This window comes from Homo sapiens, chromosome 11, assembly GCF_000001405.40.
Source record: "Homo sapiens chromosome 11, GRCh38.p14 Primary Assembly".
Lineage (NCBI taxonomy): Eukaryota > Metazoa > Chordata > Mammalia > Primates > Hominidae > Homo > Homo sapiens.
Window position 1 is genome coordinate 47,986,383 of NC_000011.10, and position 14,216 is coordinate 48,000,598.

Sequence of the window (14,216 nt, forward strand, 5' to 3'; positions counted from 1 at the left end):
TGGGTGGTTGAGAGGATCAAATAAGATAGAAAAGGAATTGCTACGTAACACCTAAAGCAAGGCCCAACTGCTAGTTGTGGCTGCTGCTGTTACTTGGAGAGAAGAAATGAGGCCCCAGATCATTAGTTCATATGACAATTTTTTCTTTTTTTAAGACGGAGTCTCACTCTGTTGCTTAGGCTGGAGTGCAGTGGCGTGATCTCCACTTACTGCAACCTCCGCCTCCCGGGTTCAAGCAATTCTACTGCCTTAGTCTCCTGAGTAGCTGGGACTACAGGCACGCTCCGTCATGTCTGGCTAGTTTTTGTATTTTAGTTGAGACGGGGTTTCACCACATTGGCCAGGCTGGTCTTTAACTCCTGACCTCAGGTGATCCACCTGCCTTGGCCTCCCAAAGTGCTGGGATTACAGTCTGAGCCACCACGCCTGGCCCATATGACAAATATTTATGAAGTGTTTTCCACAGAGTAGTATGGAATAACTCTGGGTGTGTGCAAGATGAACTGAGCTCAGTCACAATACTTTTTTTTCCCCTAATGTTAAGAATTATTGGCTGGGCAGGGTGACTCATTCCTTTAATCTCAGCACTTTGGAAGGCAGAGGTGGGAGGATCAGGTGAGCCCAGGAGTTTGAGACCAGCCTGGATGACAAAGTGAGACCTTGTCTATACAAAAAATTAGCTGGGCATGGTGGTGTGGACCTGTGGTCCCACCTACTTGAGAGGCTGAGTTGGGAGGATGGCTTGAGCCCTGGGAGGTTGAAGCTGCGGTGAACCTTGATAGCGCCACTGCACTCCAACCCAGGCAACAGAGTGAGACCCTGTCTCAAAAAGAAAAAAAATAAAAAATAATTTATTTTAGGGGGTCTTAGTAAAGAAAGACCCCCAAAAGTCCATGATTTTATAGGTCGAATGAGGTGAAAAGTGGTATCATGATAAATAAATTTGTTTAAATATCATAAAAAGTTGGTCTAAAGAAAAACATTGGGTAAATAATTATGTGAGTATGATGTGGTTATGACCAAATTGTAAAGATGATCAGTTTCTTAAGTCTGGGGGACAGGCACTGAGCAGAGGCCGTGGTGGGGAACAGGAGCCTGTCTTCATGGCTCTTACTGGCCACTGGGCAAGACTCAGATAGCACCAACCAACCAGTCACAGTTGTGATGTAGGATGTGACTGTGAATGACATCCCTGCTGCCCGCTTCAGAGAAAGGGCTGCCACTTGCCAGAGAAGGAATGGTGATAATGAGGGACAGCCAGTCCCTAAGTGGAGATCCCTGAAAGTGGTGAATATCTTAGACCAGAGAAGCCCAGAGCAGTTTTTTTACCACCTTGTATGGCTGGTTTTCCAGTGGCTTTACTGGTGCCCCCTCGGAGGACAGGGGCTGTAGGAAGTTTGTTATTACTTCCTTATTAGTGACAGCTGCAGTCATCCTATTGTCTCAGAATTTCCCTGGCATGTAAATGGTAGGATAAGGGGTGGTGGTAAGCAGATGGGGGGCATTTTGAAAACGAGGCAGTGTCAGCTCCCACAGAAGGTCTAATTTTAAACATGCAAATAATTTTCAGTTCCACTTTTCCTTCTTCCTGTTAGAGGGAAGTTGTCCCCTGTTGCCATTTCTGAAACTTGGGCGGACAATGTCGTTATTGTGTTACAAACGATTTGCGTCTCCAGGGCAGGAGTTGGGTGATATTTTTCTGGGAGCCTGTGCCAGGGCGTAGCCCAGTGTTATCTCATGGTTTCTGAGTGAATGAGTGAGTGAGTATTAAAACTTCATATCAACATGGAGCCTATAACACAGTGGTTCTGAATCTTTCTTGGGGGGGAAAAGAAGAGATACAAGACCCCTAGAGAGTATAGAGAGTATGTAAAAGGGAAGAATCCTTCCCCAAAAGGGAATGCACATATTTACAATATTGTATCCAATTTCAGAAGGTTTTTTTAAAATTTTTAATTTTATTGTTTTTTTTTTGAGACACGGTCTCAGTTTGTACCCCAGCGTGGAGTGCAGTGGCATGATCTTGGATCTCGGCTCACTGCAGCCTCTGCCTCCTGACCTCAGGTGATCCACCCACCTCGGCCTCCCACAGTGCTGGGATTACAGGTGTGAGCCACCATGCCTGACCATGACTAGTGTTTTGATGTGTGGATTTACTACAATTTATTTGACCATTCTCCTATCAATGGACACTTTAGTTGTTTTAGTACACCTCCCTGTCCCGTCACAAATCATACTTTGTAATGTTTCTGGTGGATATTTCTTGTAACCTTCACAAGTTTATCTGTAGAGTAAATTTCTAGTTTCAGGATTACTGGATTGGAAGATGCATGCATTTAAAAGTGTGATTGCTGTTGTCAGGTTGTCCTCCAAAAGTGTCCCCTCAGTTTGTACCTGTATCCATAGGTTTGGAGAGTGTCTGTTTCTCCATACCGTCTCATCTGAAATGAAAATTTTTACATGTTTGCTAGTCTGAAAGGTGAAAAATTGTATCTTGTTTTTTTTTTTTTTTTTTTTTTTTTTGAGACGGAGTCTTGCTCTGTTGCCCAGGCTGGAGTGCAGTGGCGCTGGGCTCACTGCAAGCTCCGCCTCCCAGGTTCATGCCATTCTCCTGCCTCAGCCTCCCGAGTAGCTGGGACTACAGGCGCCCGCCACCAAGCCCAGCTAATTTTTTGTATTTTTAGTAGAGACGAGGTTTCACCGTGTTAGCCAGGATGGTCTCGATCTCCTGACCTTGTGATCCGCCCGCCTCGGCCTCCCAAAGTGCTGGGATTACAGGTGTGAGCCACCGCGCCTGGCCGTATCTTGTTATTTTTATTTATATCTTTAATTTTGAGTTAGTTGAGTTTTTTGGTCATTTGCCTCTGCTTCTTCTTCTTTTTTTGTTTTCTTTTTTTTTTTGAGACAGAGTTTTGCTCTTGTTGTTCAGGCTGGAGTGCAATGGCGTGATCTTGGCTCACTGCAACCTCCACCTCCCAGGTTCAAGTGATTCTCCTGCCTCAGCTTTCTGAGTAGCTGGGATTACAGGCGTGTGCCACCACGCCCAGCTAATTTTTTGTATTTTTAGTAGAGATGGGACTTGTTCCTTAGGAACCATGTTGGCCAGGCTGGTCTTGAACTCCTGATCTCAGGTGACCCACCTGCCTCGGCCTCCCAAAGTGCTGAGATTACAGGCGTGAGCCACTGTGCCAGGCCCCATTTTTTGTTTTTTGGTTAACTCCCTGTTCATTAAAAAAAAAAAATCTATATCTATAGATAGATAGATATAGATATAATCTTTGTTATCAATTTGTATAAGCTCTTTGGAAATTAGTCCTTCGATTGTCATTTGTATTGCAAACACATTCCCCCTCCCCCATGCCAATTATTTTAGATGTAGCACTTGTTCCTTAGGAACTCAGAGATAAATAAGACCCTAGGGTGGTGAAGAGAGCATAGAATTTGGAACAAGACTCCTTTGTTGGAGTCTTGGCTCTACCACCTCATTAGCTGTGTGATCTTGGGCAGGTATCTTGACCTTTCTGATCCTTGCTCTTCATATTCCAAAAATGCTAATAATAGGAGTACCTCTGACACAGGGTAGTTGGAGAAGCTAAGTGTGATCATATTATGCTAAAATTCCTTGTAAATGGCTATGGAAACATAAACACAGCATTTTATAAAATACCACGAGGTATTCCATTTACTGAAGAGTTACATCAGAAGAGTATTTCTGATTGTGCCACTGCACTCCAGCCTGGGCGACAGACTGAGATTCCATCTCAAAAAACAAACAAACAAAAAACTAGCCAGTCATTTATAAGAATGAGTTACAGCTATAGGTGCAGGCGGTAAATACTCTCCAAGATATCTAAATAAATTAAAAGGCTATGTAGAGAACAATGTATATATAATGTTACCTTTAAAGTGACAAAAAAAGGTGAATATAGATACTTGTGTATCAGAAGAGAGAGGTATTCCATTTACTGAAGAGTTAGGGCAAAGACCATAATATTGTAATTATCAATAATTATGAATTGTCAAAATTATGTCATGAAACCTCTTTTTTTCTTTTTTTTGAGGGGGAGTCTTGCTCTGTCACCCAGGCTGGATTGCAGTGGTGTGATCCTGGTTCACTGCAACCTTTGCCTCTGAGGTTCAAGTGATTCTTCTGCCTCAGCCTGGGATTACAAGCATGCGCCACCATGCCTGGCTAATTTTTGTAGTTTTAGTAGTGACAGGGTTTCATCATGTTGGCCAGGCTGGTCTGGAACTGCTGACCTCAAGTGATCTGCCTGCCTTGGCCTCCCAAAGTGTTGGGATTTTTTTTTTTTTTTTTTTGGAGACGGAGTCTCACCCAGTCACCCAGGCTGGAGTTCAGTGGCGCAATCTTGGCTCACTGCAAGCTCCACCTCCCGGGTTCACGCCGTTCTCCTGCCTCAGCCTGGCTGGGACTATAGGCGCCCGCCACTATGCCTGGCTAATTTTTTTGTATTTTTAGTAGAGACAGGGTTTCATTGTGTTAGCCAGGATGGTCTCAATCTCCTGACCTCATGATCCGCCCGCCTCAGCCTCCCAAAGTGCTGGGATTACAGGCATGAGCCACCGTGACCGGCGGAAAGTGTTGGGATTACAGGTGTGAGCCACCGCGCCCGGCCCCATGAAACCTCTTATATTGGGTTTGAGATTAAATCCACAATGGATTGTGTGTATTATATATACACACACAGACACACGCAAATGTATTAAAATGTATAATATGAAGCAGTGGAACTTCCCTGATAGCACAATTTAAATATTTCCTTTTTGACAAACGTGCATAGTTAAATAAATTAAGTGACCACCAGGTGTGACTGAAGAGTGGCCAGTGTCTATTCCTAGCCCCGAAGGAGCACAGGGATATTGACTGTGTCCCTTAAAAAAAACAAAACAAAACGTAGGGCTTTCTTTGTATTGGTTTGAACATTTCTCTTTATCTTGTGACCTGGCCAACTCTGGCTATGGCTGCCTCCTGTCTCTCGGTACATTTTCTGTGGCGGTCAAGAGGAGTTATTTTAAGCCACCAATGGGAAAGTTTAAAGACATAATCCTTGGCTGTAATTGCGGGAGACGGGAGGCTGAGAGTCTGTGCTGACTTGCCACCTGTTTCCACGGCAGCAAGGTGATTGTGCATTTCCTGCTGCTGGCTGAGGGGCCAGCAAATTTTCATGTCGTTGTGTCATGGGGAAGTTTTCCTGTCTCAATGAGAGCACACCGTGCTTGTGGTCTTGTTCCTGTGACCAGGACATGGAGAACTATGGGGAGATTGTTCTGGGTGTGAAGGGAAATTGCTGGCCAGTGCTTAGTGCACGGGCTTTGGAGTCAGAGCCAACTTCTCCACCTCCTACCTGTGTGACCTTGGGCCTATCCTTCTAATGCTTGGAGTCTCTTCTGTCCTCATCTGTATGATGGGGATAACAAGAATACCTACTTTATAGGATTGCTGTGGAGGATTAAATGGATCTGCATGACAAATGCTTAGCATGAAAAAATCCCTCAACAGATATTGGCTGCTATTTTATTATCTTATTGTGCTGAGACACTGGCATAATTTACAATTCAAAAATTAAATTTTTTTAATCTTATACTGTAGTTTACAAGGCCCTTTCACATATATGAGCTTGTTCAATCCTCACAGCGTCCTTGAGTTTGTCATTGTTATTGCCATTTAAAAAGGTATGACTCAGAGTGGCTGTAATTGACTTGTCCAATTCAGGTTTCATCTGTCTTTTGCAGAATAATAATCATGTACGTTCATAGTATAGGCCACCTCTTTTTTTTTTTGTTTTTTAAGACATAGTCTCGCCCTGTCACCCAGGCTGGAGTGCAGTGGTGCGATCTCAGCTCACTGTAACCTCCGCCTTCTGGGTTCAAGCGATTCTTGTGCCTCAGCCTCCTGAGTAGCTGGCATTACAGGAGCCCGCCCACCATGCCTAGCTAATTTTTGTATTTTTAGTAGAGACAGGGTTTCACCATGTTGGCCAGGCTGGTCTGGAACTCCTGACCTTGTGATCTGCCTGCCTTGGCCTCCCAAAGTGCTGGAATTACAGGTGTGAGTCACCGCGCCCAAGTATAGGCCACTTTTAAGAATTACTCAGAGTTAGCTTATAAGAGGCGAATCAGTGGAGTCCTCCAGTTTGGTTCACACATAATTATTAGGTTGAACCATATAAAGTTACTGTTTTTGGTCCTGTGAATATTAGTATTTATATATGGTTCCAATCTGATATGTTCCAGAAAATACACACTTAAGTAAAGTTTGGAAAACCAAATCATAGACTTACATACTGTAAGGCGGTGTATTTGAAACTGGGATGTAAAATCAATTTAGTGAGTTATGACCTGCATTAAAAAAATGGTAGAATATCAGAGTTTGCTGGTAAGTATTGTAAAAATACCAGAGTTTGCTGGTGAGTATTGTCCATTTCAGTTATATATGTGCGCACGTGTGTGTGGTGTGTATGTGTGTATACTAAATTGCATATAAAATGAATTTCTTATCATGGGTTCACCTGTTGCCAGAAAACACTGGAAGTCACTGTTCCAGGGAATGGAATGGTGGAAGATGCCTGGTGGGGGATGGAGGTGGATTCTGTTTCCAGACACAGTAAAAAAAACCAGTATAAAGTCCCCAATTATGCATTGTCAGTGTCTCTATGTGTAGCTGGAAACCATTCCTGCAGCAGGTAAGCAGGAAGAACCAAATTGTCGAGAGGCACTTCAGGAAGGGAAGTGGGCCGACTGAAAGCTTTGGAGGCCTGCCTTTAAGTAGCTGCTTTTCTGGAAACTTCAGGGTGACCAGCCTAGTGAACAAGCTATGGGTCAGCGTTGTGTGTTCCTTTGGTAAATGGATTTGGTAGAGAGCTAACACTACTGCATTTGTAGTTTATTTGTTTGTTTGTTTTCTTTTTGAGACGAGTCTCACTCTGTCACCCAGGCTGGAGTGCAGTGTTGCGATCTCGGCTCCCTGCAGCCTCCACCTCCTGGGTTTAAGTGATCCTCCTGCCTCAGCCTCCTGAGAAGCTGGGATTACAGATGTGCACCACCACACCCAGCTAGTTTTTGTATTTTTAGTAGAGACGGGGTTTCATCATGTTGGCCAGGCTGGTGTTGAACTCCCGACCTCAAGTGATCCTCCCATCTTGGCCTCCCAAAGTGCTGGGGCTATAGGGCTGAGTCACCGTACCCAGCCTGCGTCTGTAGTTTAAATGATAACTTAATGACCACCATCCAGTAGCTGAGGCTCTAAGAGGGAGGTCTGAATAGTGGGTGACTCAGCTCAGCCCTGCCTGACCTCTAGCTCTAGGCTGTGCTGTCTCTAGGCTCCGGCACTGATTTGCATGGGCCTGAATGAACCTTCTGGAGATTGTTAGCCCAACTGGCTGAAGGATCCTGATCCCCAGGTTAATTTGATTCCCATCAAACAGTTCATTTTTTTTTTTTTTTGAGAGGCAGTCTCGCTCTGTTGCCCAGGCTGGAGTGCGGTGGTGGGATCTTGGCCCACTGCAAGCTCTGCCTCCCGGGTTCAAGCAGTTCTCCTGCCTCTGCCTCCTGGGTTCAAGCAGTTCTCCTGCCTCAGCCTCCTGAGTAGCTGGGACTATATGTGCAGGCCGCCACACCCGGCTAGTTTTTTGTATTTTAGTAGAGACGGGGTTTCACCATGTTTTCCAGGCTGGTCGTGAACTCTTGAGCTCCGGCAATCCACCCGCTGCAGTCTCCCAAAGTGCTGGGATTACAGTTGTGAGCCACTGTGCCTGGCCTTTTTTTTTTTTTAATATAAAAAAATTGAAAATACAGATAAAAGGAAACAAAATTACCTGTAATCTCCACTCATCCAGGTTAACTCCTGGTACCTTTTTGATGCGATTTCTTTGTCTTTTTAAATGCATGTTCTGTCTATTTATACTACAATAGGATAACCTCCTACATGTGCTTTGTAACTTACATCTTTTAATTTTTAACAGTTGAGGTGGGCCGGGCACCGTGGCTCATACCTGTAATCTCAGCACCTTGGGAGGCCAAGGCAGGCGGATTGCCTGAGCTCAGGAGTTAGAGACCACCCTGAGCAACATGGTGAAACCCTGTCTCTACTAAAATACAAAAAATTAGTGGTGGTGCACGCTTGTGGTCCCAGCTGTTTGGGAGGCTGAGGCATGAGCATCACTTGAGCCCTGGAGGTGGAGGTTGCTTGAGTCCTGGAGGCGGAGTGAGCCAAGATTGCGCCACTGCACTTCAGCTTGGGCTGCAGGGTGAGATTCTGTCTCAAAAAAATAAATAAATAAATAAATAAAATAAAAAAACAATTGAGGTGGATGTCTCCCTAGGGGTACCCCAGGAAGCCACAGGATAAAAAGCAGGCATCTTGCTGGAGGGTCTCTGTTGCTCAGTAGAAATTATTTTGTAATGTTTTTTGAAAACCACAAACATGGACATATTATGGACTGGATACCACATTTGCATCAGGATTTTTTTTTCAACCAGTACAGTACATAACAAAGAAATCTCTACCCTGCAGACCCTCTGGGGGTGTGAGAGCGCTCCTTGCTATTCTCAGGGTCAATGTATGGCAATCTGTGAAGGACTGACAATATATTGCAAACGTTTCCCCCTGCCAGTAAATATTCTTCTTTTGTATAACTGTTAGCTGTTGCATCCATTCCATTATGTGGAGGTACCTTAATTTATCTAATAAGTCCTGTGATTAGTCTTATAGTTTGTTTTCAAAATTTTTTTTGTCACGATAGGCCCTATTCAGTTGACTTTGTGATCAGCTCTGAACATATAATCTGGTGATTGCCTTAAGATAAATTGAATAATAAAAGTAACAATAGTAGCTACCATCGGTTGAATATTTATCATCAACTGTTGTGAGCACGTTGTACATATTAACTCATTTAATCCTATGACGTAGGTATAGGGAAGGAAACTGAGGCTCAGAACCTCTGCCAGCTAGTTGTGGGCTTCCTTTGAGGCACAGGGGAGCTGAATGGGAGGGTCTACATAGGACAGGGCGTGTCTGAGTCCAGGAAGGACAGCTGGACTTGGGCCAGTCTCACAGGTGGGAAGGCTGTCTTTCTGTGAGGATGGGTGACTTGTTGACCTTTGATCCTCAGAGCCCTGATGCAGCAGGAGTGAAATGATTCCCAGAGCCACAGAAAACAAGAGTATCTTTGTCTTGGATTTTAGATCCTGGAGCTATCAGGTGGTAAGAAGGCTGTCTGACCCAGATTAAGTGATGTCATGGTATCATGTTGGGGTGTGGGCCTTCCTGTTGTAAATTATTTGGGATTTCATAGAGATCGAAGTCATGTGTGGATGACATGACTTCAGGATGTCCCATTAGAAGAGGAACGTGGGGGTCAGGCGTGGTGGCTCACGCCAGTAGTCCCAGCACTTTGGGAGGCTGAGGCGGGCGGATCACGAGGTCAGGAGTTCAGGACCAGCCTGACCAACATGGTGAAACCCTGTCTCTACTAAAAATACAAAAATTAACAGGGTGTGGTGGCACATGCCTGTAATCCCAGCTACTCGGGAGGCTGAGGCAGGAGAAGTGCTTGAGCCCGGGAGGCACAGGTTGTGGTGACCTGAGATTGTGCCATTGCACTTCAGCCTGGGCAACAAGAATGAAACTCCATCTCCAAAAAAAAAAAAGGCTGGGTGCGGTGGCTTACGCCTGTAATCCCAGCACTATGGGAGGCCAAGGCGGGTGGATCACAAGGTCAGGAGATCGAGACCATCCTGGCTAACACGGTGAAACCCCATCTCTACTAAAAATACAAAAAAAATTAGCTGGGCATGGTGGTGGGTGCATGTAGTCCCAGCTACTCGGGAGGCTGAGGCAGGAGAATGGCGTGAACCCGGGAGGCGGAGCTTGCAGTGAGCCAAGATCGCACCACTGCACTCCAGCCTGGGGGACAGAGCGAGACTCTGTCTCAAAAAAAAAAAAAAAAAAAAAAGAGGAACTTGGGAAAGAGCATGGGCTTTGGTGTCAGCAGAAGCATGTGTCCAGTTCCATGCTCTTCCCTTATAGCTGTGTGACCCTGCTATCTGCACAGGGACTTGAGCCTCTCAGAATCTGTTACTGCATCTGGAAAATGGAAATCTGGAAATGTCACTGCATCTGTAGCAACAACCAGGCCATTTTGTTACTAGGTTTAAGTGAGGGAAGGCATGTAAGGCACTCAGTCCAGATCATGGCACTTAGTAGGCCTGAGCACATTTGCTCCCACCTCAGTGACCTCCTTGTTAACACGACATCTCCTGACTTTGGGGCTGCAGAGTGATGCAGAGCACTGGCCAGTGTTGCCATGCACCCAGGGTGCAGGGAGACCTGTCTTGCAGGTGTTCAAACAACTTTTGTCAGCCTCAGTGTCAGGGACTTTTGTTGCGTAGAGCAGTCACCAAATCCTATGGTGAGAAGAGAAATCGTTGGAGATGGGGGTGCAGGGGTGGAAGCTCTTATTTCAGAAGACCTGTTGTGAGGTAAGACTCAGACCCTCAGCTTCTATCCGGCCACAGAGTTTGGGACCAGCCTTTCGATGTCTTTTGGAAGATGCACATGGAATGCTTAGCCTTTGCTCTTCCCTGGAACCTGGCTTAGGCTTTGCACCTATCCCACCATGTGGTTGGGGTGAGTGAGGACAACTTCTTTTCCTCCAGAACATGGTTTCTCCATCTCAGCCCTATTGACATTTTGGGCTGGATAACTCGCTGTTTTGGGAGGCTGTCCTGTGTGCCCCGTAGGATGTCCTGCAGCCTCCCTGGCCTCTGCCTGCTAGGAGCCAGTAGCGCCCCCTCCCCCACAGACAAAAATGTCTCCAGATATTGGCAGATGTCCCCTAAAGGGCAAACTACCCTTGCTGTAGGTAATACTTGCTTTGAAGTACTGGTGTGGATGGCCTATGCCCTGGCAGTCTTACTAGGTGGGACTGGCTGTCCTCTCATTCTCATGGGATTGGCCTCATGCTGGTAGCTGACTTCCTCCCCGTGAGACCGTAGGTCTAAACTAACAAGGTTTACACATGTGACAAACATCCAGGTTGCCAGGGCTCAAAAGAGGGTTCACATCGACTCCCTTCTCATTCACTGAGTCCTTTTTCGGGAGCTTTGGCCGAGTTTGTGCTGCGTCTGGGCATCTAGGTGTCGAGTTCTTCCCTAGTGTTTTCAGCCTCGGCTTCCTCCTCTGTAAAATGGGAGTAACTGATACTTTTCCTGTCTGGGTGGGAAAGGAACCCCGTGCTAATGTGATTGATGGTGTGGTGCTAAGCTCTGCTGCAAGGGATGTGAAGTTGAGGGAAAGGTTTACCATTTATTAGGAGCTTTGAGACCAAGTTCCTTCCACACAAGAGATATGCCCTGTCAAAGGGAGATCCCATTGCAAAGAGATTCACTGCCAAGTTCCCCCTCCCACTAGCTCCCTGGAGCAATTTTCAGCTTTTAGAGTGTTTAGAGGCCTCAGGGTGTAAAGCGAGAGAGAGAATGCCTTCCAGCCAGCGAGAGAGAATGCCTTCCAGCCGGTGACATTGAGAATAGCAGGAAAGAGGCAGAAGAAGAAACTGACTTGAAGGGTGATGCCAGCCAGGGGTGAGTGGAGTGAGGTAGGATTTGCTTTCTGAAAACTGGGATGTGCACACAACCTATCAAGAATACTTCACTTTGTGAGGCCCAAAAACAGCTCCTAGCACAGTGTAGAGCAGACTTGGTCAGAACTTCAATCCTTGATTTTTTTTTTTTTTTAACCCGAATTTCATGAGGTTTTTCTGAGACATCCACTGGACTGTCATATACCGTGTGCTGGGCTCTCATTTTATCCTTACAATTATTATGTTCATTTTAAAGACCTCATGTTAGCTAGATCAGTAGGGTGACTACAGTTTACAGTAATCTACTGTATATTTCAAAATAGCTAGAAGAGAACAATTTGGTTCTAGCATAAAGAAAAGACAAATATTTAAGGTGATACATATCCCAAGTACATTGATTTGATCTTTACAAATTGTGTGAATGTATTAAATTACCACATGTGCTCCAAAACTGTGTTCTTGAAAAAATTATCACGCCCATTTTAGAGATGAGGCACAGAGAGGTGGAGGGACTTGCCCAGATCCAGGTATGTGGCTCTCCTGTAATCTCGCTTCTATTGCTTTGTGATCAGCAGCAACTTAGTAGCTTTCAAAGCTTCAATTTTCTTGTGTGCCAAATGGGGCTAATAAATACCTTAGAGGATTGTGATCAAGATTCCGTGAAAAAATGTATGCAGTGCCCCCGGCAAGGTGCCTGGCATACAGAAAGTGCTCTGTACGCACCAGCTGCTGTCATTATTATTGTTTCAACTACCAGTGATCATAAAGGATGCCTGCTTTGATGAGCTTTTCCAGGAATATGGACTGGTCTGCCCTGATCTACTTGAATAATCTGTCTCAGGCCCTATTCGGTAAATACATGTAGGAGGTGCAGCTGCCAGGGAAGGGAGGGATGTTACCTGGAGAGGACAGAGTCTGAAGTTCAGGAAATACAGCAAGAGCCTTCCTCAGGGATGAAACATGTGATCTTATGGTCTGACTAGCCTCAAGCCAGCTGAGCTCATTGCCATGCAACTTGGTAGTTAATGATTGCTAGTAAGAAGTTTAAAAGGATCATCCCCTCAAAGAATGTCAGAGTTGGAAAAGACCTTAGGGACATTAGGCTAGGAAAGACAATGTCCTAGTGAGTGACTGCTTGGGCCCTGTATAGAAGGGATTCTCAGATCACTTGGGATGTCCTGGCTCAGCAGGAGGCTAAGGTGGGATCAATTAGTGATGTCTGCCATGGCCACAAGAGAGGCAAGGAGTGGCACATGTGCTGTTTATTTGCTGTCTTTGGCTGCAGCTGAGGACACTGAGGCCCAAGACTTGCTTGCTTACTGGACGATCACCCAAGTCATTAAACCACAAAAATCTCTTTTGGAAGGAATCTGTTAAGAATGTCTGATTATAAGAGTTGCACCTTTGAGCAAGTATTTTTTGCTTGATAGTCTTCAGTGAGGAGGAACTGTCTTCAAAGAGCACATTCTGTCTTTTGGCAATTCTCCCAATTAGAACTTAGACCACTGAGGTAGAAAGGCCTTAGAAGCCCCTTTAAGTGGGCTCTTCTCAACTGGGGCTGCACCTGAGAAGCTTTTGGAAAATACCAGTTGGAGGCTCCCTCCCCAGACCAGTGGATTCTGGATATCTGGGTGTATGGACACCTCTTGCCCCCATTGGTGTTTTATTTTCCAAGCTCCTCATGTGTTGTTAATATGTAGCCAGGGTTGAGAACCACTGAGACCAAAACTCTTTGGAAACAGAGACCCAGAAAGGGAGAACATGATTGTCTATGGGTATGTAGGGCTAGTGGCACAAGGAGAAGGAAAACTAGGGGGGAAAAGGCCTTTATCAAATGCCACCCATATGCTAGTCTCTTTTACTTTCATGCCGAGATTCTTCTTTTTTTTTTTGAGTCAGAGTCTCGCTCTGTCACCCAGGCTGGAGTGCAGTGGTGCGATCTCGGCTCACTGCAACCTCCGCCTTCTGGGCTCAAGTGATTCTCTTGCCTCAGCCTCCTGAGTATCTGGGAGTACAGGCTTGTGCCACCACAGCTGGCTAAATTTTTTGTATTTTTAGTAGAGATGGGGTTTCACCATGTTGGCCAGGCTGGTCTTGCCCTCCTCACCTCAGCTGATCTGCCTGCCTTGGCCTCCCAAAGTGCTGGTATGCCTGGCCCTTTTTTTTTTTTTTTTTTGAGATAGGGTCGTGTTCTGTTGCCCAGGCTGGAGTGCAGTGGTGTGATCACAGCTCATTGCAGCCTCAACTTCCTGGGCTCAAGCGATCCTCCTACCTTACCTGCCTGAGTAGCTGGGACTACAGATGTGTGCCACCTCTCCTGGGTAATTTTAAAATTTTTTTTTTGTAGAGATGGGGGTCTCACTATGTTGCCACAGCTGGCCTCCAAGTCCTGGGCTCAAACGATCCTCCCGTCTTGGCCTCCCAAAGTGCTAAGATTATAGGTGCAAGCCACCTCTCCTGGCTTGCTTCTTTCCCGTAAATTGAGGTGTGTTATTCCACTGCTTAAAAGCCTACATGGCTTCATATCGCTGTTAGTATAAACCCAAACAGTGGTCTGCAAGACTCTGAACCTTAGATCAGGATGATCAGACCCCTCCCTCCCCTCCACCCTCCGAC

General features: G+C 45.7%; 1 protein-coding gene across 4 annotated transcripts in view, besides 1 other annotated feature; it reads left to right on the forward strand.

Annotated features, from left to right (window-relative positions):
• PTPRJ (protein tyrosine phosphatase receptor type J) overlaps positions 1–14,216 on the forward strand; it is a 190,281-nt gene that overhangs the window by 5,824 nt on the left and 170,241 nt on the right. The gene's annotated exons all lie outside the window — the stretch shown is intronic.
• Positions 7,178–7,393: a silencer, noted in NCBI's record as "fragment chr11:48015112-48015327 (GRCh37/hg19 assembly coordinates)". NCBI's record gives its function as "represses an EF-1alpha promoter that drives an FKBP-Casp9 reporter gene in an ReSE screen in K562 erythroleukemia cells {active_cell/tissue: K562}" and the evidence as "EXISTENCE:reporter gene assay evidence [ECO:0000049][PMID:32094911]".